This window comes from Homo sapiens, chromosome 3 (assembly GCF_000001405.40).
Source record: "Homo sapiens chromosome 3, GRCh38.p14 Primary Assembly".
Lineage (NCBI taxonomy): Eukaryota > Metazoa > Chordata > Mammalia > Primates > Hominidae > Homo > Homo sapiens.
Window position 1 is genome coordinate 16,306,312 of NC_000003.12, and position 23,826 is coordinate 16,330,137.

At 46.1% G+C, this 23,826-nt stretch overlaps 2 protein-coding genes across 27 annotated transcripts in view; one reads left to right on the forward strand and one right to left on the reverse strand.

Annotated features, from left to right (window-relative positions):
• The window catches only part of OXNAD1 (oxidoreductase NAD binding domain containing 1), an 86,884-nt gene that overhangs the window by 41,100 nt on the left and 21,958 nt on the right, over positions 1-23,826 (forward strand). For 3 of the 17 annotated variants that reach the window (XM_011534235.4, NM_001352981.2, NM_001352977.2), the window contains one exon: positions 16,788-18,169. The exons of 8 other annotated variants lie outside the window; for them this stretch is intronic. The gene's annotated coding sequence lies outside the window, so the exon portion shown is untranslated. Of the gene's footprint in view, positions 1-13,149; positions 18,170-23,826 lie in introns of those variants that run through there. 6 more of the 17 variants (NR_148217.2, NR_148219.2, XR_007095766.1 and 3 more) reach the window with 5 other exon arrangements.
• Positions 9,534-23,826, reverse strand: part of RFTN1 (raftlin, lipid raft linker 1) — a 197,855-nt gene continuing 183,562 nt past the window's right edge. For all 10 annotated transcript variants that reach the window (XM_017006007.3, NM_015150.2, XM_047447783.1 and 7 more), the window contains 3 exons: positions 20,462-20,565; positions 17,065-17,146; positions 9,534-10,921 (listed from right to left, as the gene is read on the reverse strand). In XM_017006007.3, the coding sequence (XP_016861496.1) occupies positions 10,860-10,921; positions 17,065-17,146; positions 20,462-20,565 (248 nt within the window). In that variant the 3' untranslated portion in view covers positions 9,534-10,859. The remainder of the gene's footprint in view (positions 10,922-17,064; positions 17,147-20,461; positions 20,566-23,826) is intronic.

Consider the following 23,826-nt stretch of genomic DNA (forward strand, 5'->3'; position numbering starts at 1 on the left):
TTGTGGGGGTGTTCTTCTTGCTGGTGTGTTTTCAAGCAAAGCCTAGCAATTGTATCGTGTCACTTCTAAATTCTTCAGTATATATTTCTAACAGATACATCACCTCAGCACAACCACAATGTCATCATCATACCTAACACAAGTGACAATGATTCCTTAATATCCTCTAAGACCCTTCTGTGTTGTTTCCTCATGGCCTCAAAAGTCCGAATATTGCATTAGGTTAATGTCTTTTATTTTAATTAATTAATGGCACACTCCTTACACCCCCTACACATATACATGGACACTTTTTTTCCCCCATGATTCATTTGTTAAAGAAACTGACTTATTTGTTCTGTAGGCTTTCCCACATTTTGAACCTGGCCTATTGTATCCTCAGGGTGTTGCTTGATCCTCTCTCCTCTGTATTTCATGTAAACTGGTAATTAGATTTAGAACTTGTTTATATTCGGATTCAAGATTTTTTTTTTGCAAGCCTGTATTATAAAGTGGTGTGCTTCCTGTGGCATCACATGAGGCATATAATGTCTGTCCCACTTTTAATGCTGTTAAGATGGATCAGTGGTTTCAGCATTTGTCAGCCTGATTCATCCAATATAATGGTCTTCATCAAACTTTCACCTAATTGTTTTAGCAGCCATTGATCATTGCTGATAGCTATTTTTTCATTAAGGATTAATTATCCATTTCTGTTATTCTTCCTGTATATATTGTCTGTGATTGTTCCATATAGAACTTTCCCTCATCAGCTTTGATTCCCCTGAAATGAGTCTGTAAAGAAATGGCAGTATTGATGCTTGATTTCTTTCATTTATCAGTTAGCATACTATGAGTTGGTGCCTTAGCAACCTTTAGACGACCAGTGAGATTATTTAAAGTATCATTATGAACTCATGGCTTTTTATACATTTGATTGTTTTCATCCATTACAGTCAATTTTTTGATGTTCAGCTTGTTTTAGGTCGCCCCTGCTGTGTCAGTGGTTCACACTCAATCATGATGGTTGATGAGGTTCGGGGCTCTTAACGTGCAAAAAGTTCTCTAATAAACAGGTAGGAGGAAAAGGAGATGAGTGTGGTGTTAAGAAGCCTCATGAAGAAAGTGTTTCATAGAGGATGGATTGGCTAGCTGTGTCATGCTGCTAATAGGACAGGAAAGATGAGGTCTGATGAGTGATCATTGAGTGGCTATTGATTTGGCAACTGGTCCAGTCATTGGTGATCTTGATAAGACGGATGGTGGGAGTGAAAACAGTGAAATAGGTTTAGGAGTAATTGAGAGGAAATCAATTATAATGAATATAGATAATAGTTTTAAAGAAATTTACTATAAAGAGAAGAAAAAAGATGGAATGGTAGCTGGAAAGGGAAGTGGGGTCAAGAGAACATTTATTGTTCTCATTGGGTTGTTTTATTTTTTAAACTTTTTGTTTTGAAGTAATTTTAGATTTACAGAAGAGTTGCAAAGACAAGACAGGGTTCCTCTATATCCTTCATCCAGCTTTCCCAAATGTTTAACGTAGTTGTGGTATATTTATCAAAACTAGGGAATGAACAGTACAGCTAAATTGGTACAGTACTATTAAAGCACAGTTTGTTCTGTTTTTTTAAGAGGAGTGAAATAACAGCCTGATTGTATGAAAAACCATGGAAGAGTAATTCAGTGGGACTCAGTTAGGGAAGTGACACCTTCTTCTAGAGGATGATGTCATTTATTGAGCATCTGCTATGTGCGGTCACTGAGCTAGACATTGAAGATAGGAACGTATAAGACAAAGGTTATCTTAGGAGCAAGTTAAATACTTTGGGAAACTATTTTTTTGTAAGTCTAAGTGATAAAGGTATCTTCTGGAAATAACTGAGTAACACATTGAGAACATTTCGACAAAATTGAAAGTGGAAATGCTCTGGGGCAACATATTTTTTTGCACCTATCACTGTTTGAAAGAGAAGCTATAGCAAATGGATGACTGGGTGAGTCACTGGAATGATGGATCTTAGGGGCCCAGGGGTAGCAGAGTGGGAAAGGCTGCACCCATGCTCTGGAGGGTAGGAGGATTGTTATATGGGACTCACAGCACAAACACGTGTGGATGCAGTGATTGTCAAATGATCCAAGGGCATGTCTTGTTGCTCCTATTTTTTTTTTCCTGTCTGAATGGAAAACAGCAATTTCCTCCATTCCTGGTTATTGCAGATGATCTGATAATTTAACCTGAGAGCCGTTATTTCATCTTATTTTATTTTAAAACTCAAAAGAAGTATACTGTTCTCATCTTAAACAGTGAGATGTCTGGTCTTTAATATTACTCTTTCTTAACATACAATAAGCTAGCAGTGTGGTGATGACATGTAGATACCTCCTAATGTGCCATAAAATCAAGGCATGCATTTTAAAATGTTTCGTGCCCAGAAATCCAAACTTTTATAGTTGTTGAGCAGCCATCTTCATATGGTCTGTTCTGAATTCTTAAAACCTGCAGGAGCTCATCAGCCTAACCTGGCCCCTTCCAGCTCATCCCCATGTCCTATTTTGCTATATTTGAGCATAACAAGATTTTATCTCTTCCTTTTTAAAAATTAATTACCTAATAAATATGACCAAAAATTGTTAAATAATTTTTTAATTACCTAATAAATGTGACCACAAATATTAAATAAAATTATATAGATTAAAATGCTGACGTTCTCTTCTCCCCCATCCTATTCCCTTGCCTAGAAGGAACTTCTGTATAAAAAACTTGCTGGGTATCCTTTTAGAAATTTTATGGTATATTAATCTTGTATACATATACAACTGTGGGTACCTATACAACTATGTCTCTCTTTCTTTTAATACACTTCAAATTCTTGCTATATACCATAATATACTTAACCATATCTCCATGATGGACATTTAAATTGTTTGGAGTTTTTGGCTATTACAAGCAATATTGCAGTAAACCTGTTTGTATAATTTTTCTGCACATACTCCTGTAGAATTACTAGAAGTGCCATTTCTGAATAAAAAATTGACTAGTATTACCAAGTTACCCTATAAAATGCCTAATCAGTTTATATTCTAACAGGGTATGAAAGTGCCCATTTCTAGCCAACATTAGATACCCTCAGTCTCATACTTAAGTATTTTTTTTCCCCTAATCAGTTAGATGAAAGGTGATTTTTTTAACTAACAATTTTCTGATTGAATTTTCTGATTGTTCCGTAGGCCTGTCTGTCTTTTCCCCTAATCAGTTAGATGAAAGGTGATTTTTTTAACTAACAATTTTCTGATTGAATTTTCTGATTGTTCCGTAGGCCTGTCTGTCTTAGAGACTATAGAAGCCCAGAGAGAAGAAACAAAAAATGAGGCAGATTGGTTGGCTGTGTGGGATGGTGGGAGGAACATGACACCAGGCTTCAAGAGACCTAAATCATGCCCATTCTACAACTTGTTTCCTGTGTGACTCATTCCACCTCTCTCTGAAACCTGCTTTCCTTATCTGTCGCTGTGGGTAGGACTATGCAATTTAAAATTGCTTTCAGCTTTACCTTTCTATAATTTCATGATAGAAAAATGGGCCTTAGAGATCAAGGTTGACTGTACTGAGAGATGTCTAAGGAGTATCTTAACTCTCTTCAAATATTTGATTGATTCTTGGGATGACTATTGTTTGTATCTCTGGGGTTGACAGAATAAGAAGACATTGTCTTGGACTGAAGCAAGGGAAAAGTTTGGTTTGATACAGGGGACTTTTGGACTATACTGCTGATTAAATTCTGGAGTCAGGGCTCAAGAGAAATAGTGGAATTACCGTTAGTAAGAAATAAAACTGACATTTGCCCATTGGGGCTTAAGGTGTACTTGACTGAGACAGGGACTGGATTGATAGTTCCCCAGGTTCATAAAAAGGAAGTGTTTTAGACAGTTATTAACTTACGCATTTTGTGGACCTAGAAACTGGTAAGTTTGCTAGTTGTTCTTTCTTCTAAGTTGATTCTCTTGTTTTTTTTTCATTGAACAATCAACAAGATAGGAGGTACCCAGGACTGAAGGTTCATGAAATCAGAGGTCCATTATAGGAAGCATTTTAATGCTCACCCTAATAAGTGAAATATATTTCTTACTATCTTTAAGCCTTTATATTATTTAGAGGCCACAGAAAAATCCAAATCCAAACTGAACTTAATGACTAGTGAGCAACACATTTAAATACACAAGTTTTACCACATTAAAGGATGAAAAGCCAGTCAGCAACATGGGATCATGTTTTAAAACTGTCTCTGGATGAATGAATATCTCTACTCTTTCTTCAAGACCCAGTCCCTACAGTTGACAACCAGGGTGGTTCTCCACCAATTCCTGGCTCAGGGCTTTGCTGGAATTGCCAACATTACCATTAGAAATCATTTGGGGCTGGGCGCGGTGACTCACGCCTGTAATCTCAGCACTTTGGGAGGCCAAGGTGGGCAAATCACCTGAGGTCGGGAGTTCAAGACCAGCCTGACCAACATGGAGAAACACTGTCTTTACTAATAATGTAAAAATTAGCCGGGCGTGGTGGTGCATGCCTGTAATCCCAGCTACTCGGCAGGCTGAGGCAAGAGAATTGCTTGAACCTGGGAGGTGGAGGTTGTGGTGAGCCGAAATTGTGCCATTGCACTCCAGCCTGGGCAACAAGAGCGAAACTCAGTCTCCAAAAAAAAAAAAAAAAAAAAAAATCATCTGGGAGAATTCCCACTCTGCCCGTCAGAACCAAGACAGTTGGTTCCCTTTGTACTCCCACATGCATACCATGGCACCTCCCCAAGAGCTGCTGCTTTCTGTTGCCACACAACTCCCTCCCTCCCTCCCAAAAAGAAAGATGTAGTTCTTTGGGTCTTTTTTTAAAAATATTATATATTTTATATATTTTTTTCAAACGGAGTCTTGCTCTGTCACCTAGGCTGGAGTGCAGTGGCATGATCTCAGCTCACTGCAACTATCTGCCTCCCGGGTTCAAGTGATTGTCCTGCCTCAGCTTCCCGAGTAGCTGGGGATTACAGGCACATGCCACCACGCCTAATTTTTGTATTTTTAATAGAGACAGGGTTTCACCATGTTGGCCAGGCTGGTCTTGAACTCTTGACCTGGCCTCTTTGGGTGTTAAGAAAGGTATAAAGACTTCACTTTTAGTGACTTTGTCTAATGTTGAATGTGTCAAACTCTGAAAACTAATCCATGCAAGAGGTTCTGGAAAAGTTCCAGGCAATATCACTGGAGTATTTATTACTCTGAGGAAATGCCTTTGATAAGGACAGGGTTGGTAGCTTCAATACCTCCCTCATTCCCCAATCATTTGCAAAATCCAGTCACTTTTGCTTCTGAATAACTCTCAAATCTATCCCCTTCTTTGCTAAGATTCAAGCCAGCAGCCCCCACCTAGACTAAAGCACTAGCCTCTGCAGCATCTCTGGGATCCCTGCATTTTCCTCATTCAGCAGCCAGAAAGACGTTTTAAAAAAATGCAAATCTGATGTCATCAGTGGCCTCCTATTAAGCCTTACAACAAGGACCAGAATCCTTACCATGGTTCACGAGGCCCTTCTGCATTGCTGTCTTCTCAGCACCTAGCACAGTTGTGTAGGAATTTTAAAATGTGTATCTGTTTAACAAATCATTTGATCCCCTCATCCCCACATAAATGCACAGGTCTCTCCCGTAGCCTGGCTTCCTCTGCTGGAGGGACATGCCGCTGTTGTGCAAGGGCTGGGGAAGCAAGCACCAGCCAGGTTCAGAGAGCCATTCATCTGCAGCCAGGGTTCATTTTCTTAGTCTAGCCACTGAAACGATTGTTATCAACAGGAACCTGTGGTGAACATCACTTTGCTTCCTTCTCTGGCAACAGCTGCCTCAGAAACCTAGCCAAAGGCTCATTGGGTCTTGTCCTTAGATCTCATGTCCACACACTTCCCTGTTCAAAACTCTAGGAGCCAGGTACAGGAAACCCAGCCTCTCCTGGGAAGCTGCATCAGTGGTTTTGGCGGGTCATAGTGCAGGCAGAGCACTAATCACCAGGGGCCCACCCTGCACTACTCACGCAGTTGGCCTCCAGCACTTCCAGCAGGGCTCTTGGAAACAAGATCTGTGGCAACAACTGGGAGTCAGTGCCGAGCTTCTCCTGGCCACACACACCAGTCATCCTCACCCTTCCCGTCTTGCCAGTCCTTTCAGGACTTGATCTTCAATCTTAGGCTGCTGTGAGCCCTAGCAGGACAGAGCCCAGACTGTGTGCTCCCTGCAGCACAGTGCCCCTATGCCAGCTAGGAGCTCAGCTAGAGTGGGTTGCACGAGTCGTGAGTTTGGGGTCAACCTATTCCTACTAATAAGCACTGTCTACACCTGAGAGCTATTCCTGAACGATTTTGTGGTTTAGAGAGGGCCATGATGAATATGTTTAGAGTACTGATAAAATGTGCTTCATAAGAAATAAATTAGAATACCTCCTGCTAATGTTTTTGGAAGCTGCTCCCATCAAGCATCAGCAACTCTAGTGAAGCATGGTCAACCTGGAGATCTGAAAAAATCTGACAGGCATTTGACTAATGTTTACCTTTTTGTTACTTATAAACCATTGATAAATAATTTAAGACTTTATAAATATTATTACAGTATTTCTGTTAAGATGGGATATACTACGCTTCAGTAGCCAATAAATCTCAAAATCTCAGTGGCTCACCTTAGCAAAGGTTTATTTAACGCCCATGTCAAGATCCATCTTTTTTTTTTTTTTGACAGGGTCTTGTTCTATTGTCCAGGCTGGAGTGCAGTGGTGTGCCCACAGCTCACTGCACCCTCGACCTCCTGGGCTCAAGCAATTCTCTCACTTTAGCCTCCCAAGTAGCTGGTACATGTACCACCACACCCAGCGGATTTTTTTTTTTTTTTTTTGCAGAGGCAAGTTCTTGCTATGTTGCCCAGGCTGGTCTCGAACTCCTGAGCTCAAGCGATCCTTCTGTCTCAGCCTCCCAAAGTGCTGGGACTATAGGCGTGAGCCACCACACCCAGCCTCATGGTCCATCTTGAACTGTGCTGAGGGTGTTGGAGATGATGGGCTGGGAGTCCCTGAAGCTTTTATCAGACCTGCTCCTGTCTCATTGCCAGAACCAGTCTCATGGCCCCAAACTGCAAGAGAAGCTGGGGAGTAGAGGATATACTTCCATGGATATTGGGTGGGCACTAACAGTATCTGCCACATTGATTACCTATCAGCATGTGATTAACTGCTACCCACAGAGTACTTACCATGGACCAAGCACTTTATTCACATCTTATTAATCCTCACAAAAATCCAAAGAGGTGGGTGCCATTTCACCCCATTTCACACTTGAGGCGATTGATGCTCAGAGCTGTGAAGAAACTGAGGAGGTTACACATGTAGACTGGGTCTAGTTAGCATCCTCACCAGCTCTGTCTGATTCCAAAGCCCAGCTGGGCTTTTCCACTACACCAAGCCCAAAACAGTGTTACTACTTCATTAACATAGATTTCCTCAGGCTTTCCATGTGTCAGTATTTTGACCTTGTGGCTATATGCACTTCAGAGCAATGCACCTGCCTTTCTTTAAGCAGATTAGATAAGAATTCTTCTTCCTCCCATCATTGCCCTGCCAGTGGTGCTAAACTTCACCCACTACCCTCTCCTGAGCCTCTGCAGGTGAAGTAGTTGAAAACAGCTTCCCAGTGAAAGAATCTGGATTCAGCCACAACATCGTAGGAATGCCACATTTCAATCACCTGATAACCACCTGATCACAGTGGGTTTGCAGGACTCCCCTGCAAACCCACTGTGACAGCTGCAGCCTCACAGACTTAACTGCCAAGTGCACAAGCTTCCTCATGCCAAACCCTGTATGTCTTTGTGGCTTTTACTGTCCGTGGGACCTGGTCAGTGCAAATGATGGCTTTTTACCCTATTGGCAATCACAGGGAACTTAACATTTCCTTCAGAAATGCCTCCACTTGAAATGTACATGCAGGATGTTGAGAATGGATTTTAGGGCCTTTATTATTTACCACTTGTAGAAAGCATTTTATTTCACAAGCTGTGTTTCAACTGACAGAGACCCTGTGGCCAGTGGTATTCAACTTTGGCTGCACCTAGAGTCCTCTGGGAGCTTTTAAAAATCCTGATGCCCACGCCACTCCCCAGATCATTCATTCACAAGCTCTGCAGGCGAGCCCCGGCATCAGGATTTTGTATAGCTTCCTCAGTGATTTCAAGCTGCTGCTAACTTAACACCCTCCACTGTAGACTGATTTTTGCCAGAATCAGCAGGGTGTAGAGAAGCAAGGGAGAAAAAACAAGACCTTTAGGAACTGTTAGCCTGACACTAGGGCCAAACTCTCTTGAGGAATTCAAATTATTGTCACCTTTTTTTCCCCATAGCAAATACAGCCAACATAAATGTCAATTAATTAATTGAAAAATGTACCCAAAGCTGAGCAATGTAAGGCCCTCTAGCCTGGAACCGTTTGCTTTTCAAAGTTGAGTGTGGTGTTTTTGTCCTGGCCTGTTGCTGACTAGCATATATTTTTAAAATCATGATCCTTTAAGATATGTGCCAAGAGATAATGTTTTTATTAAATCAAAATGCTGTATAGACATTGACTTAGTTGTGGAAAATGTCATTAAAAAATAGTTGTCTTCTCTTTGAACAGGGCCTTCAACCTCTTTAAGCTCTGAGGGTTGGGTGGGGAGTTTGTCAAGAAGAAAAAGCTATGTGATGTGGCTGTACAAAGGTTTTACATTTTGCTCTATAAAAATATATTACAAATGTTTGTGGTTTTGTTTTGTTTTTCTGAGATGGAGTCTTGCTCTGTGCCCAGACTGGAGTGCAGTGGTGCAGTCTCGGCTCACTGCAATCTCTGCCTCCCAGGTTCAAGCAATTCTCCTGCCTCAGCCTCCCGAGTAGCTGAGATTACAAGCACCCGCCACCACGCCCAGCTAATTTTTGTATTTTTAGTAGAGACGGGGTTTCACCACGTTGGCCAGGCTGGTCTCGAACTCCTGACCTCAGGTGATCAGCCTGCCTCAGCCTCCCAAAGTGCTGGGATTACAGGCATGAGCCACCATGCCTGGCCTACAAATGTTTTATTTTAATAAACTTGCAAAGGGAAAAGACTTGCCTCACTAATTTAAAAAGTTATTCAGAAATAACTTGCCTCACTAATTTACTTAAAAGCTTGGAAACAATGTTTGTTAGACACTGATGTAAGGTTTTTTGCTTATTTTAAAAAGGTATTTGTCTCCACCATCCCAGAAATGGGAGGTGGCTGTACCCCTTACTTACCTGGTGGCATCTGAGTTCCACTTGCCATCTCTTTCTACAAATGACGAGAAAGCACAGCAAGCCTAGCTGGCTCTGCAGCTTTCCATGGGAACTTTGTCTTCCTCCACCACGTCATCATGCTGCCAGGAGTTAGAAACTTATAGTGAATGGGGGGTGTGGGCTGGAATCCTTTGGACATGAGGCCAGGACTGTTCCTAGTGACACGATAAACACTCAATCCTCACGGTGCACTAACTCATAGATGATTTATTGCCGTAAGTAACTAAACAAGAGAAGAGACAGGCTGTGGGTTTGGTCAAGACAATCAGCATTCCCTCTCCAAGGTTCGCCAGTTGCATCTACCTAAAGCCTTAATACTTTCTGGACGATATACACATGATAAACACAGCATACATGGGTAACAACTTGACCAATGTTACACTGATTAAAATAGCACATAACAAGGGCGCCAGCCAGTCCCGATGCCCTGAAGTGACAGAAGTAATGTGGTTTGTATGATGTGCTGAGTACAAAACCTTTAAAAACAACTTTTTGGCATTAATACTAACACAGAATACTTCCTTGAACATTCTGCAAAAGTAGGTGCAGAGACAGAATTACTTCTTCATTTCCAGATTACCAGTATCTATAGGACTATTTTGAGAAAAGCTGGGAGGCGGAGCACCTCCCCTCCCCAATGTCATTTTCTTTGTCAAAGCAGAAGAGTCGAAGGGGTTTAGGTGGAGGAGGGCAGCTGACAGGGCTCCTGGAGTTGTTAAGTCACCAAGTAGCTGCAGGGGATGGACACTGCCCCACACGATGTGGGATGAACAGCAGCCTTGGTTTGTAGCCCAGGGTGTCCATGGATTTGACCCGAATGCTCCCTGGAGGCCCTGTGGCGAGGACAGGCACTGGATGGTCCAGACCCTCTGGCTGGAGGAGTGGTGGAGCCAGGACTGGGCCTTCAGCCATGAGGGCTAGAATAACCTGACCTCTTGCATTCTAACACTGGGTCATTAATGACACCTTTCCAGTGGATGTGCAAAAACCAACACTGTCAGGAACCTGGCCCTGGGAGGGCTCAGGTGAGCTCACAAGGAGAGGTCAAGCCAAGCCAAAGGGTAGGTAACACACAACACCAGGGAAACCAGCCCCCAAACCAGCTGTTGGTAAGATGCCTTGGGTTTGGCAACTCACCTAGTTTTAGCACAAATTGCCCAAGACTCAGTTTTCTTCAACCGTACCAAGCTCTCTGACTTCCTCAGCATCCCCGTCCCTGGCATCCTCTCCAGGATTGGAGTGCCCAGTGCAAATCCCCACCAGGGCCCTGCTGTGGCTGGCAGGACCATTCTGCACAGCCTCACCCTCCACACCCACCCCACACAGCAGGCCACCAGGGGACAGCTGTTCTCCCTTGTCCTCTTGGACAGGGCCCTTCATCTCCTCGGAGACTCCACCCTCCTGCTGCTGTCCTGAAACACAGTTTCCCATGTCTCCAGCTTTGGAAGACTGGTCTTCTAAGTTCTTCTCATTTTCTTCTGCTTGTTGTTTGTCTCTGGCACTGAGTTTACCTTTTGATTTCCTCATCTGCCTGTTGTGCATTTCTTCTCTGGAGAATCGCCACTGAAACTAGAAATCAGAAAGGATGGGGATAAATAACAAGCCTCCGGGAACCCAGAGCTTCACCCAAAGCCTTGTTTGCATTCATACCCACACCATGTCTGAGTGAGACATACAATTCCCAGCATCCCCCAGCCAGGCAGTACAGGCACCAAACTTGAATCGCACACTATCACATCACACCCACCCCAAGAGCCTGCACCACACCTTCCAGGATGTGTATTTTAGATGTAGATTTCAGGTTCTGTTGGGGCAGAGCAGTATTTCTTTTGACTGGCTCTATACCAAAGGCCCACATAGGAAAGGGCTCCTAAAGTCCTATCATTTGGAGGGCCAGGATGGAGAGGAGATGTGAGGCCTGCCCCCAGTAAGAGCCAGAGCTGCAGCTACTCATTTCCATTCTGAGCAGGCTGAGGATTACCAGGCACGGGGCTGGCATTCTCTCACTAGGTCACCTGAGTAAGGCAGGGCCCAGAACATGGGGCAGACACTGTGCTGTACCGCTCAGATCCCCCCACAGGACTGGCGGGCCCGCTCCCCAGCTAGGCCGATAGCCCTTTGCTGACCACCACCTCACAGAAGGGTCACACCAGGGCAACCTACAACCAATGACTGCCCCAGGTGGGATACAACAACCCATTTCCTGATCCCAATTTGGGATAACGCAAATGCCATCCCAGCTCCAAGCCAACCTGGGGGATTGTGACTGCATCACAGCCCAAATTCTCCCTCTGCCCGCTACTGTACCGACAAGTGTTCTAAGGTAACTCCCTCTAAAAACTTCCAATCTCAGAGGCCGCTTCCCGGGGGCCCAACCTGCAACCAAGCATTTCCTGGTGTGACAGGGAAGTCAGGGGCTCAGAGTCCCAAGGTCACGCGGCCAGTAATAGAGTTGGGCAACAACCAGGGTCTCATCAAATCTCTGGAGCAAGACCACCCGAGAGCGAGCCCCAGCTCCGTCACTGACCGGCCAAGTTTCTCAATCTGAATTTCTCATCTCGGTGGCCCAGAGTGCACGTGGGGTTTTAGTTTTCAGTTCCCACCATGGCCACTTCCTTGTGCTTCAGCTGTTATCTCATTGGTTTCACCAAATACGCACTTAAATCTTAGACATTATATAATTGAGAGAAAAAGGGAGCTCTCAGTTCCTATGATTTCTTGCTGGGCTAGAGAGAGGAGCCCAGGAATGCAGTTGCACCATCAGTGGGAAATGATTTCTTAAGGCTTTAGTATGTTGTAAATCATTCTGAGCGCTTTGCTAGGAAAAACCAAAAATGTGCTATGTAAATGTTTAAAAATCTGCCATTTTTGTAGTTTTCCACGGTAGAGATCTGTTTCCTCAGATAAAACATTTGCCCAAACACAGAATTCTGAGATTTAATACATTATAGGATTCTTGGATTTAGCACCTTTTAGATAAGAATGGTAATGGAATGTTCCATTAAAGTAGAGAAACATGAGTGAAATACATGTTGAGGTTAGGATTTAACATTTATCTGGTCCTTTCCCACCCTGTATCCCCCAAAAAACCCAAATGAGTTCACTTACAATGTTGGATGGGTTTCTCCTTTGACTTCTTTTGAAATGTCTCGTACTGTAGCTGACAGACTTCCCTTAGGAGATGGGTGGAGCTTCTTCCACCCAAACTGTGAGGATCCCAATAATGGAATCACTCTGTAGGCTAAGTGGTGTCTCAGACCCACCTCCTACTTAAGCCGAGCCTGCCAGGCAGGCATCTCGAGGCTCCAAACCCACCAGAGGAGGCCCCTGATTTTAGCCCTCAGCATGACCGTGGCTGCCTCCACCAAGCCTCCATAGTTTCCAGGCACCGTGTTATGGTTCGTAACTGCTGCCCTGTGTTAGGCAGCTGCCGTTGCATTTTAATTCCAGCCCAAATGTAAGAGTCTCTCCTTTTTTTTAATGGATGTTCCAAAACAGTCAGAGCCTCTTCACATTTTATATCATTTTACGTGTTTTTAGAAAAGGACCAGTGAAGCCTACCTGTGTAGTATAGTACTCCGAGAGGCAGTTGGCTCTCAGGGAAGTCAGAGGAAGTTTTACTGTTGCCAAAAAAGTGGTGATTGTTTTGGCTAAGAGGCCTTAAGTGCTAAAATGTCAAAGCATTATAGTATGGGTTCAAATCCTAGTGCTGGCACTCATTAGCTGTCAGTCTTTAGGCAGGTTATGAATCTGAGTTTCAAGTTACTCATCTCTAAAATGGTTGTCTCTACCTCCAGGGCTGCGGTGCACACCTCCAGGGCCCCATTCATATTGTATTTGATGTGAATAGCGCCCTCTGCTGTTGTGCAGTGTACAACTGAGGACAATTCCACCACGTGCTAGACCTTCCATCTAATATGAGCCCAGATACTCTCTCCGGGGCTGCTCTTGCTAAATAACAGAGCTTCCATAGTTTCCCCTGGATGCCTGGCCACATCCAGTTTCCTGTAGAAGATCACATCTTGTTGATCTGCTGATATAATACAAAACGAGAACACAAATGGTAGAAAACAAACAACAAAAACTGTTTCAGATCCCAACAATTCAAAAAGGAGACGTCTCAGAAAGCAAGAGGAGGCCTGGACTGTGCCAGATTTCAGTTGAGCCTCTGAGGTGAGCTCTGACATCCACACCACTTAAAGGCAGGCAAGTCCAGCCTGGGGAATGGACTCCAGGTTTTGAGTAGGACCGGGGGAGTCTCTGAGCTTAACCAGCAAGCCGCAGATAAAACAGGTTGCACTGAGTTGGGGGCCTTCCCAAGCCAGAGCATCTGTGGCAGTTGGGTGTGTCACCAAATCCAATTAGCCGCCCAATTCAGAAATAACTGTCTAAAAGAAAAAAAGAAATCCTTCACTTTACAGCAGTGTGTGTCCAGAGTTCCATGTCAGCAGGAGCCAATGGATTTAATTTGCACATTTTAAAAACTGCCCATGATGTGTCCACTTCAAGTAGTTTAGCTGGAAGGAAGTCTTCCCGAGTTGTAGAAATCACCTACTCCCTTTGAAGAAGTTTAATATTTGCCTTGAAAATCACACGCACGTACACAGAGGTTTCTTTCCAATGCTGAAAAGTCCTGATTAGAAAAATCTATCCATGTTGCTGATTAAAAGAAGACTAAATATGCCACATCCTCGGTGTGCCAATCTTGCAGTTTCTTTTCTTAAGTTTTAATGCTAGACATACTATGTGTGTCCTCGCTAAGAAGCTGATTACTCATTCATTGATTCGACAAGTATCTGTTGAGCACCAACTAAAATCTGGGTACACAACACAGGAAAAAGGTCTTTGCTCTTGTGGAGACTATGTCTGACTCTGCCTGGGAAGGATAAAATAATGATCACAAATAACTAAAAGCCCAAAGGAGAGCTCTGAAGGAGAAGAACGTGGTTCTTTTCCAGGGTAGTACAAAGGAGTCTGGTTTGGTATAAAAGGAGACAGCACTGTTCTGAGAAAAGGATGCTCGAGTAGAGCTAGAAAGGAGGAGAATGTCCTTGGCAGAGGGGACACGGAAGAACTGGAGGCCACAGAGGAGCTGGAGGCCACAGAGAATGGGAGGCTGGCAGAGGAGGTAAGAGGGACCAGATCCCTTGGGGCCTTGAGGGCCACAGTACTGATTTCCATCTTTGTCTTCAGAGTCATACAAAACTAGAACTCCTTTGAGCAGTGGGATGACAGGATTCAAGTTCCCTTTTTAACAGATCACTTGGGCTCTGAATAGGGAACCTATTTGAAGGGGATATCTATTATTAGGAGATTAGAATAGCTGAGGCGAGTGATGGTAGAGAGAAGTGGAGGGATTCCAGAGCCTCCGGGACCTAACACAGATGGGTCTTAAGGATAGATTGAATATAGGGGAAGGAGAGGGGAGGGTCAGCAGGGATAGCCCCTAAGGTGCAATGCCATTCCTCTAGATAGGGTGGCGGTTGGCCAGGTGGGCGAGGTATGGGGAGGGGGACAGTCATAGGTTTCCTCGAGCCACAGGATGGATGGAGCTGGAGTCTTGGGGTGCAGTGAGGGCTGAAAATGCAGGCGGAATGGTCATTGGCACAGAGGTGGTGAAGGAGATTTTCTAAGGAAGAGGCAAGAGTGAAGGGAGAAATGGGGCTGGGTCTGAACCCTGAGGAACTTAGTGGGAAACCAGGAGAATGAGGTGGGAAAGAACCAAGAGAAAAGCTGCTTCAGGGAGTGGGGGTGGTCCCAACATCCGGGCTGCAAGAGCTCAGGCATGATGAGGACTAGATGGAGTGACTCTCGGTCACCAGGGGACACAGGCCTGTGGGAGTAGGACGCTGACCCTTGTCAGCTGAGGAGTGAGGAGGGGACACCCAGTGCAGAAGATTCTTCCAAGGAGTCTGGCTGTGAAGCCCCCCTCTCTGGAGGACTCCCATCTGTGAGGTGACCCAGAGGGTCTTGTGTAGAACAAGTGCTCCACACCAGTCACCTACAGTCTTGGAATGAGGCAGGAAATAATTAGGTACATGGAAAGAGAAAGCAGTCCACCCAGATGAGTACAGCTGCTTGGGATTAGAAGTTTTTACTGACTGAAAAAACAGTGGGTCCCATCCTCTCTGAATTTTCCCTGAGGAGAGTCAGTTCAACCTTATTACAGCAGCTTTTACAAATCTATCTCTAAAGTCTCCCTGCCGACTCAAGTTTCCACTGACTTGTCCCCCTGCATGCGATGCCATGACCTTCACACCAACATCCAACCACATGTCTCTCCTTTGGAATCTGTGTGCCCCACCACCAGGAACCTGTTAGGCAAAGGTGGCACCATCTCCCTCTGTAAGGCTGCAGCGGGTGTCTGTCAGCATCTGACAGGGGCCCTTTGCGTGCTGTGTGTTGAATGTTGCACTTGCTGAATGCATGCAGTTCCCGTGAGCCTGTGGCTGAGCTGAAACTGACAGCGCTCTGCAGCCGATCCATCTTCCAGCTGGTGGCTGCCTGCTCCTGGTGGTTGATGGTGGGCTGGCAGTTCCCTTCTGGTCCATTGTGCCGTCACCTGTCACATTACACCTTCAGAGCCTGGAGAAAGACCTTCCTCCACACTCCAGCCCATCTGGCTTCAAGTCACCATTGCTTTGGCACTCCTTCCACAAGTGGGCTCCCCCTGGAGTTGTTGGCTGGTGAGGGGCTGCTCCAATCTGTTCATTTACTTGATGCTCCTTCCCAGGGCTCTGTGTCCAAAGAACATGAGGAACCAAGCGTGAGGAATGCAGGAGTGATGCCAGGAGTGAGGAGCCGAGCAGGTCAGGCAGGCCCTGCCGAGAATGTGGCCTCAGCCATCAAAGGTGCAGTGAGCTGAATCCAGGTGATGCCTGACTCAGGCTTTGGTGTGTCCACTCGACTCACTGGCCTCTTCCCCAGCAACTGGTGAAAATGTCCTCAGGAAAAGCACCACAGGCTGCTCAGGGTGGGGTGGGAAGCATCAGAATCATCTGGCACAAGGGTTGCCGACACTTGCACCTCGTACAGCCCTTGTGCTCAACCTTCAGGAATCACAGAGAAGACTCTCTGAGAAGGCCAGTCTCTGTGCGACTGTTTCTAGGGTAGTTCAGAGTCCGGAGAGGGGGAAAAGGGCCCTGGGGATCTCTTGAGGACAGCCTGGCCTGAGGACTTGCTGCCACAGGCTACAGCTAGCATCACCAGCTGTCACACAGAGGCCTTTGGGTCTAGGCCTGTCATGAAGAAATTTTGGCAGGGTCTCTGCTTAGATCCCCACACTTTTAATGTCCTAAGGAATCTTAACAGGGCAGGCCAGAGCTCCAACTAGCTGATAATGAGATTAAGACACAAAGAAACTGGCCATGAGCTCGAGCCATCCCCACCCCATGGTCAGGCTGCAGCTGACTTCGTGCCCTTCTTTTCATCCTAGTGGGAATATCTAGCAGGCTGAAGCCTCCAGAAGAGCCTCTCTCCTCCATCCTTCTGGCCGGCCCAGCAGGACGATGGCAGACAAGGCCCTCCAGTCCCCTCAGCTGTCCCGTTTTAGCAGCCTGAGATGTGATTCGGGTTGCCAGGGGCTCAGGTGTTCCTTGGGCTCTGCGAGCCCTTGGAAGCTGGAGCAGGCTGCCCCCTCAAATGCTGCAGAAAATCCACTGAAGATGAAGCCCTGCTGAGGAAAACCTAGGAAGGCCATCAAAGTCTCTTACCTTCGATTCCTTCTTCTTGATTTTCTGAGGTAGACAAGGTCTCTGAAGAAAGACAATCTGCTTGGTGGATACACTCCCCTCGCTGTAACACACGGAGCTGAGAATGAGCCACTTTATGCCTTAGAGGAACCCAAAACCTGACACAGATGTTGCCATCCCTAATTTCATCAAAGCAGACCACCCACAGGATTATGACAGGTTAGAAGAGACGCCTGCTCTACTCTTCCGCTCCCAGGCCATCCAACCTTGCTTCCGAGGGGCTATCTCAGATGCCCAACAAAAGCTTTTTGGGTATCCCTACAAAGTCAGCTTCCTAGCTGGACACGCCCATTCCCTTAATGGGAAGTAACAGCATCTTGGCCAAATGTGGACACACTGGCTGCTTCAGTGGATCTCAAAGGGGCAGGGGCCTTTTCCAAATCTGTCTCTGGTAATGATGGGCAGGTAGATAAGGACCTGGGTGATGAGCTCAGCCCTCCAGCTGCTACAGGACAGTGGACAGAGGTCATGGCTGCATCCAGGGTCTCAGCCATGCATGGCTCCTGCAGGCACACCAAAGACTGCACAGCACCAGGCGGGCCCTGCAAGGCAGTGCCTGTTAACCAGCTCTGGCTCACATGCGAGGGAGGGGCGACTCGTATCTTACAATACAGTGAATTCTCTCTTCCCAGGAAGGCAGGACCTGGAGCTGCCTCTAAAGATGATAGAAGTATTGTAAAGAAGATCACTGTTTTTTTTTTCCCCTGCTTCCACCCTTCTGATGATTTTGTATTTTATTTTTAATTTACAAATAATAATTGTATATTTATGGGGTAGAGTGTGATGTTTTGATATATGTTTACAATGTGGACTGATTAAATCAGGCTACTTAACAAATCCATCACCTCACATACTTAGCACTTTTTGTGGTGAAAACATTTAAAAGCTACTCTTTTAGGAACTGTAAACTATACAAGGCATTATTGTTTATAATAGTCACCATTCTGTGCAATAGATGACCAAGGCTTATTCCTCCTAACTGAAACTTTGTACCCTTTGATCAACATCTCTCGTTTGCCCATCCGCCCCACTCCCCAGCCTCTGGTAAACACCATTCTACTCTCTGCTTCTATGACTCAACTTTTTTAGATTCCACGTATGAGAGAGATTATAAGGTATGTCATTCTGTGCCTGGTTTATTTCACTTAGCATAGTGTCTTCCAGGCTCATCCTTGTAATAAATAACAGAATGTCCCTGACCCCCCCCCTTTTAAGGTTGCATAGTATTCCATTGTGTGTGTGTGTGTGTGTGTGTGTGTGTGTGTGTGTGTATTTTATATATATATATCACATTTTCTTCATCCATCTGATGAGGGACACCTAAGTTGTTTCCATTTCTTAGCTGTTGTGAATAATGCTGCAAGGATCATGGAAATGCAGATCCCTCTTCTGCATACTGATTTCAGTTCCTTTGGATATATACCTAGAAGTGGGTTTGCTGGATCATGTGCTAAGTCTATCTTTAGTTTTCTGAGAAACCTCTGTACTATTTTCCATAATGGCTATATTAATTTACAATCCCACCAAGAGTGTACAAGGGTTCTCTTTTCTCTATACCCTTGTCTTTTTTATAATAGCCATCCCAATCAGTGTGAGGCTATATCTCACTGTGGTTTTAATTTGCATTTCTTAAATCTGTTTTGTAAATTTCTTTACATGTTACTGCATTCAGCTACAAAGTCTGTAAGAAAAAGGAGGGAGAGAACTAATATTTACTCTGCACCTATTTTGTGTAGCGGCTAGGCTGGGTGAATTCACACATAATGGCTCATTTAAGCTTCACCTCAATGCTCCACGGAATCCAACTACCACTTTTATAGAAGGAAACAAAAGCTCAGCTCAAGAGCAGGCTGGAGATCACACAGTGAGGATTCAAACACAGATCTACCCAGTTCCACACAGTCTCCATTCCACCGTAAGTGGTCATTTAAGGAACAGGGAGGTGGAGGATTAGGAAGGATTATTTAGCAGGTGTGAAGGTCTGAGACAGAGAGACCTGTCTGTAGCCCCTGGGCTTAGGTGGCTCAGAACCAGCTGGGCCTTCACATTCAAATACATTCTGAGTCTTGTCTTCTGGAAATTGACCAGGAAACTGACTCAGAGAAGCTATGTCACTTGACCAACATGACACAGTGGGTAAGTGGCAGACTGAAGACTTGGGTTCAAGTCTTCAGGCCCCAAATCCAGGGTTCTTTCTACACCACTGCATTGCCCTATGCCTGTCGAAGTCTTGGCTGAGAAAGAACATGGTGGTTTCCAGTGGCCAAGGGGCTCAAAAGTGGCCGCAGACTGGCTCCCCCTGGTGCACTGACCCACTGTGACCTAATGTGGAATCTGAGGATCCTGGTGAGCCAGAGGAGGGACTAGGAAAGACATCAGTTGTCACCATGATTCTGCACTCTCAATCACCCTGGTTTGCCAGCCTTGCCCCATGCTGTCCATCACTCTGCAGTGGTGAATATGCAGTAGGGCTTGGGGAAGGTGGAGCTCTGGGGGCCACAGCGGGGGCATCCTTGCTGGTCAGCAGAGAGACGGCCTGCTCCAGGAAAAGTGCCTGATTCTGCAGACTGAGGTTCTAGGCCCAGTTTCTGCCACTTACTGGCTGGGTAGCCTTAAGTATGTGACCAAGCCTCCCCTAGCCTCAGTTTCCTCATCTGCAAAATGGGAATCATATCCATGCTTACAACCCCACAGGGCAAGACTAATTTGGATAGTAAGCCCAACATATAGATGGAGGGCCTTTTATGGTTGGTGTGACTGGGCTCAAGGGAGCGTAAGCAGAGCTGAGAGTGGACAAATGAGCATGAACCTGAAATTATAAGGAATGCCGCACCAAGGCCTGAAAGGCAGGCCTTTACAGCCCCTTTGTGGAGCTGGTGACCAGTGCTTGATCTTGGCCAAGTCCCTCAACCTCCCTGGCTACACTTTCCTCAGCTGCAAAATGGGTTTAATAATAATACAATTCTACCTCATAGTATTTTTCTTTTCTTTTTGAGGACTGAGATTTTTATATATAAAGTGCCTACCTAGCCTAGCACAAGGCACATAGTAGGTGCTGAATTTCTTTTGCATTGGAGGCTCTGAGCCCTCTCAGTCTGAGCGGCTCATCTTTGACATTCTGGGCAGTAATGACTCACAGGGCCCCCCATGTGGGAAGAGGGGTGCAGGGGAGTTCTCTGGGTGACGGTGGTTAAGAATGTGAAATTCTGGCTCTGCTGCTTCCCAGTGGGAGAGTTTACATAACTACCAGCCTCTTGCACAGGATTAAATAATTTATAGACGTGAGGTGCTCATTAGGAACAGTGACTAGCACAGAGTAAGTGTTCAATAGAATCCTAATGATTACTGTTATTGTTACCTGGTAGTCTTGACGACGGGAGTTGGTAGCACACAGGTGAGCTGCCAGCCATAGGCCGCCAGCGAGTTCAGCAGGGGCACGTAGTCTGTCTGCACTTCGACACCCTGGGGGAACAAGGCCAGCATTAGGGCTGCTGCTGCCACAAGCCAACTCCCAGGCAATGAGAGGGGACTATTCAGTCTGCCAATCCGCAAAACAGAAAAGAAGTGGCGGTGCCCGGCCACTCAGAGGCTCCTGCTCCGATGCTTGCTGAAGACTTTAAAAGTTTGGAGTCAAACTGCCAACATGGGATTTCCTTCTGGGCCCCATTTCAGTCTGTGATGTCAGCAAGGAATTACAGCCAAAAGATTAATCCATTAATTTTGTTTGATTCTTGTCTGGACAAATAGCCTCCTGTGAGTTTCACTGACGAAGCATAACTGTCTCACCTCTGAGCGGTATCCAGGGCATATAACTACACGTGCTGCTCTGAATGAGTTCAGAGCGTGTTGTGGGGAGTTAACTTACATTTGACAAATGATCAAGTCGTTTATGTCCAGCCACAGCAACACACACATGCACATCCACATGTGTGTGTACACGCAGAAGCTGCTTTGCCTGTGTTATGTGCCCTGCCTTGCAGGGATAAATGAATGCTGCCATGTTTTATTTCAAATTAGGATTTGGGGAACTAACATTTGTCTTTCAGTTAAAAAACTCAGCCCCGGCCGGGTGCTGTGGCTCACGTCTGTAATCCCAGCACTTTGGGAGGCTGAGGCAGGTGGATCACATGGTCAGGAGATCAAGACCATCCTGGCTAACACAGTGAAACCCCGTCTCTACTAAAAATACAAAAAAAATTAGCCAGGCCTGGTGGCGGGCGCCTGTAGTCCCAGCTACTCGGGAGGCTGAGGCAGGAGAATGGCGTGAACCCGGGAGGTGGAGCTTGCAGTGAGCTGAGATGGCACCACTGCACTCCAGCCTGGGTGACAGAGCGGGATTCCCATCTCAAAAAAAAAAACAAAACGAAAAAAACTTCAGCCCCCTGCTAGCACAGGGAGAGAGCCCTGATGTGAGGCCCCTGCACTGGCTTCCACCTCTGCAGGCGTTCTCACTGCAACAGGCCTCATTTCTTACTACGGGTTCCTCACTAACACTCAAAGTGTAGCCCCCACCCCTGCTCTGTGTGTAACTGGACTCCTCATCCCTCATAGTTTGGCTTCTTGTAGTTGGCTTCCGAAAATCTCAAACATGTATCCAGATTCCTTCCACCCTGTATGCCCACATAGTTCATTTATCAGGTACTCTAGAGCCATGATGGGTGCAAAGGCACAGCCCCGGCCCCTGGAGTTCACAGGCTAGCAGGGGCAACAGCACAAACATGCCAGGAACTGAAAAACCTAAGGGCTCTCTGGCAGGGCCATGGGACTTTGAATGCCAGCAGAGGTGGGAGAGATCCCAGCCACAGTCAAAGCAGGCTTCCTGGGGCAAAAATTAGAAGGCAAAGCTGGGCCTAGAGTGCCAAGGTCTGTGGTCGGCTTAACTCAGAGGCAGCGCGCGTGACCATGGTCTGGAGTGCTCCACTCAGAAGGTGGCCACGTGTGGTGAGTGGCTATCCTGCTGGTGGCCCTTTGGGAACAAAACCAGCTCATCTGGATGCCCTGGGCGAGTGGGATGGAAGGCAGAGGAGGAACAACCTACCTGCCCTGTCTCTTCAAATGGCTTTTAAAGCTTCTATAACTGGACACCAGTTCCAGAGTGGCTATCAAGTCACCTGAACCCTTGGCGACTAATTTATCCCTTGGCAGCCTCCCTTTCCTCCGCTGTATAAAATGGGTACTGGTCTATGTCGGTTCCCAAAGCATGGCCCGAGCCGGCAGCATCAGCATCACCTGGCAACTTGTTAGAAGCCCAGATTCTCAGGGCCCCATCCCAGACCTGATGAATCAGGAACTCCGGGAGTAGGGCCCCGGAATCTGTGTTTTAAAAAGCCCTTCCCAGTAGTCCTGATGCAGCTAAGTCTGAGAACCATCGCCTAGGTAATCATGTAGGTCCCTCCTGGCAAAAGAAAAGTCTGTAATTCTGTGGCCAGAATCTATCAGCTGTTGCCTCAAATCTAACTTTTTCCCATCATTCTCCATGAGAAAAAAATATATATTTTTAAAGGATCAGCTCTGTTAGAAATTCTGCCACACTGCAAGGGGAGAAAAGAAGGAAAGTGCTAAGGTTTGAATGTATCCCCCAAAAAGTTTCCATGTGTTGAAAACTTAATCCCCAATGCAATGACATTGAATGGTGAGGCCTGGTGGGAGTGTTTAGGTCAGAAGGGCTCCACTCTTGTGAATGGGTTAATGCCAACTCAGGCAAAGGGCTTGAGGCTACAAGTTCAGTCTCCTGCTCTCTCCCCTCTTTTCTGCGCTTCCGCCTCGGGATGACGCAGCAAGAAGGCCCTCACAAGATGCCAGGCCCTCGACCTTGGACTTCCCAGCCTCCAGGACCAGGAGCCAAGAACTGTCTGTCCTTTATAAATTGCCTGATCTCAGGTATCCTGTTACAACAGCACAAGTGGACCGAGACAGGGCGGAAGTGGAGAAAGGGAAAGGGAAAGAGGAAACTTAATAAAGGAAGGCGGAAGGGAGGAGGGAAGGGAGGAAAGGAGAGAGAGGTACAAGAATAATCCGTTTACAGGTGGGGCCAGGAGAGAATGCCATTCTGGTCCCTTCCCTGAAGCCTCTATCAGGCCAGAGATGGCCCAGCAGTTGTGACCATCCTTTCTGCCTGGCCTCTGGGCACACGCACACCTCCCTTCCAGACCAGCACAGCCCGTATTCCTCCTGCTGGGTGCCACGCTCACCACCTGCTGAAGGAGTCCTGAGGCTGCTTTATCCTGAGAATCCCTGCCCCCATCCCCGTATTCCCAGTTTAAAGAGAGGAGGAAAACCAATTTTAAATCCACACTCTCAAGCTTTGCGAGGTTATGATTACTTGGGCCTATCAAGAATAACCTTCCCACTTTATCAAGCACTGTGACAAACCCGCCACAATCAGACAGTAGCCATGGCAACCAGGACAAGCTTTGGCGCCTCACAAAGCCCTGAGTGGCAGAATGGAGTCCTTTTATTGGTGGCTGCATCTCGGGCCAGGTTTTCTCTGCGGGCACCCAGAGCTGCGAGACAATGAACGACCCCTGCTGCAGCCCGACCCGCCTGCTTAGACAGACTGCAAACCGGCTGCTTCTATTTTGCTCCGTTTTATTTCATTTTGTCACTCTCTTAAAGAAAAAATCAGCAGGATTTCTCCCAAACATTTTTTCCCCCTCAGGGTAGGAGATGTCAGCCAGAGGGTACAGAATCATAAAGGCCAAAAGCAAAAGGGAAAACACAACA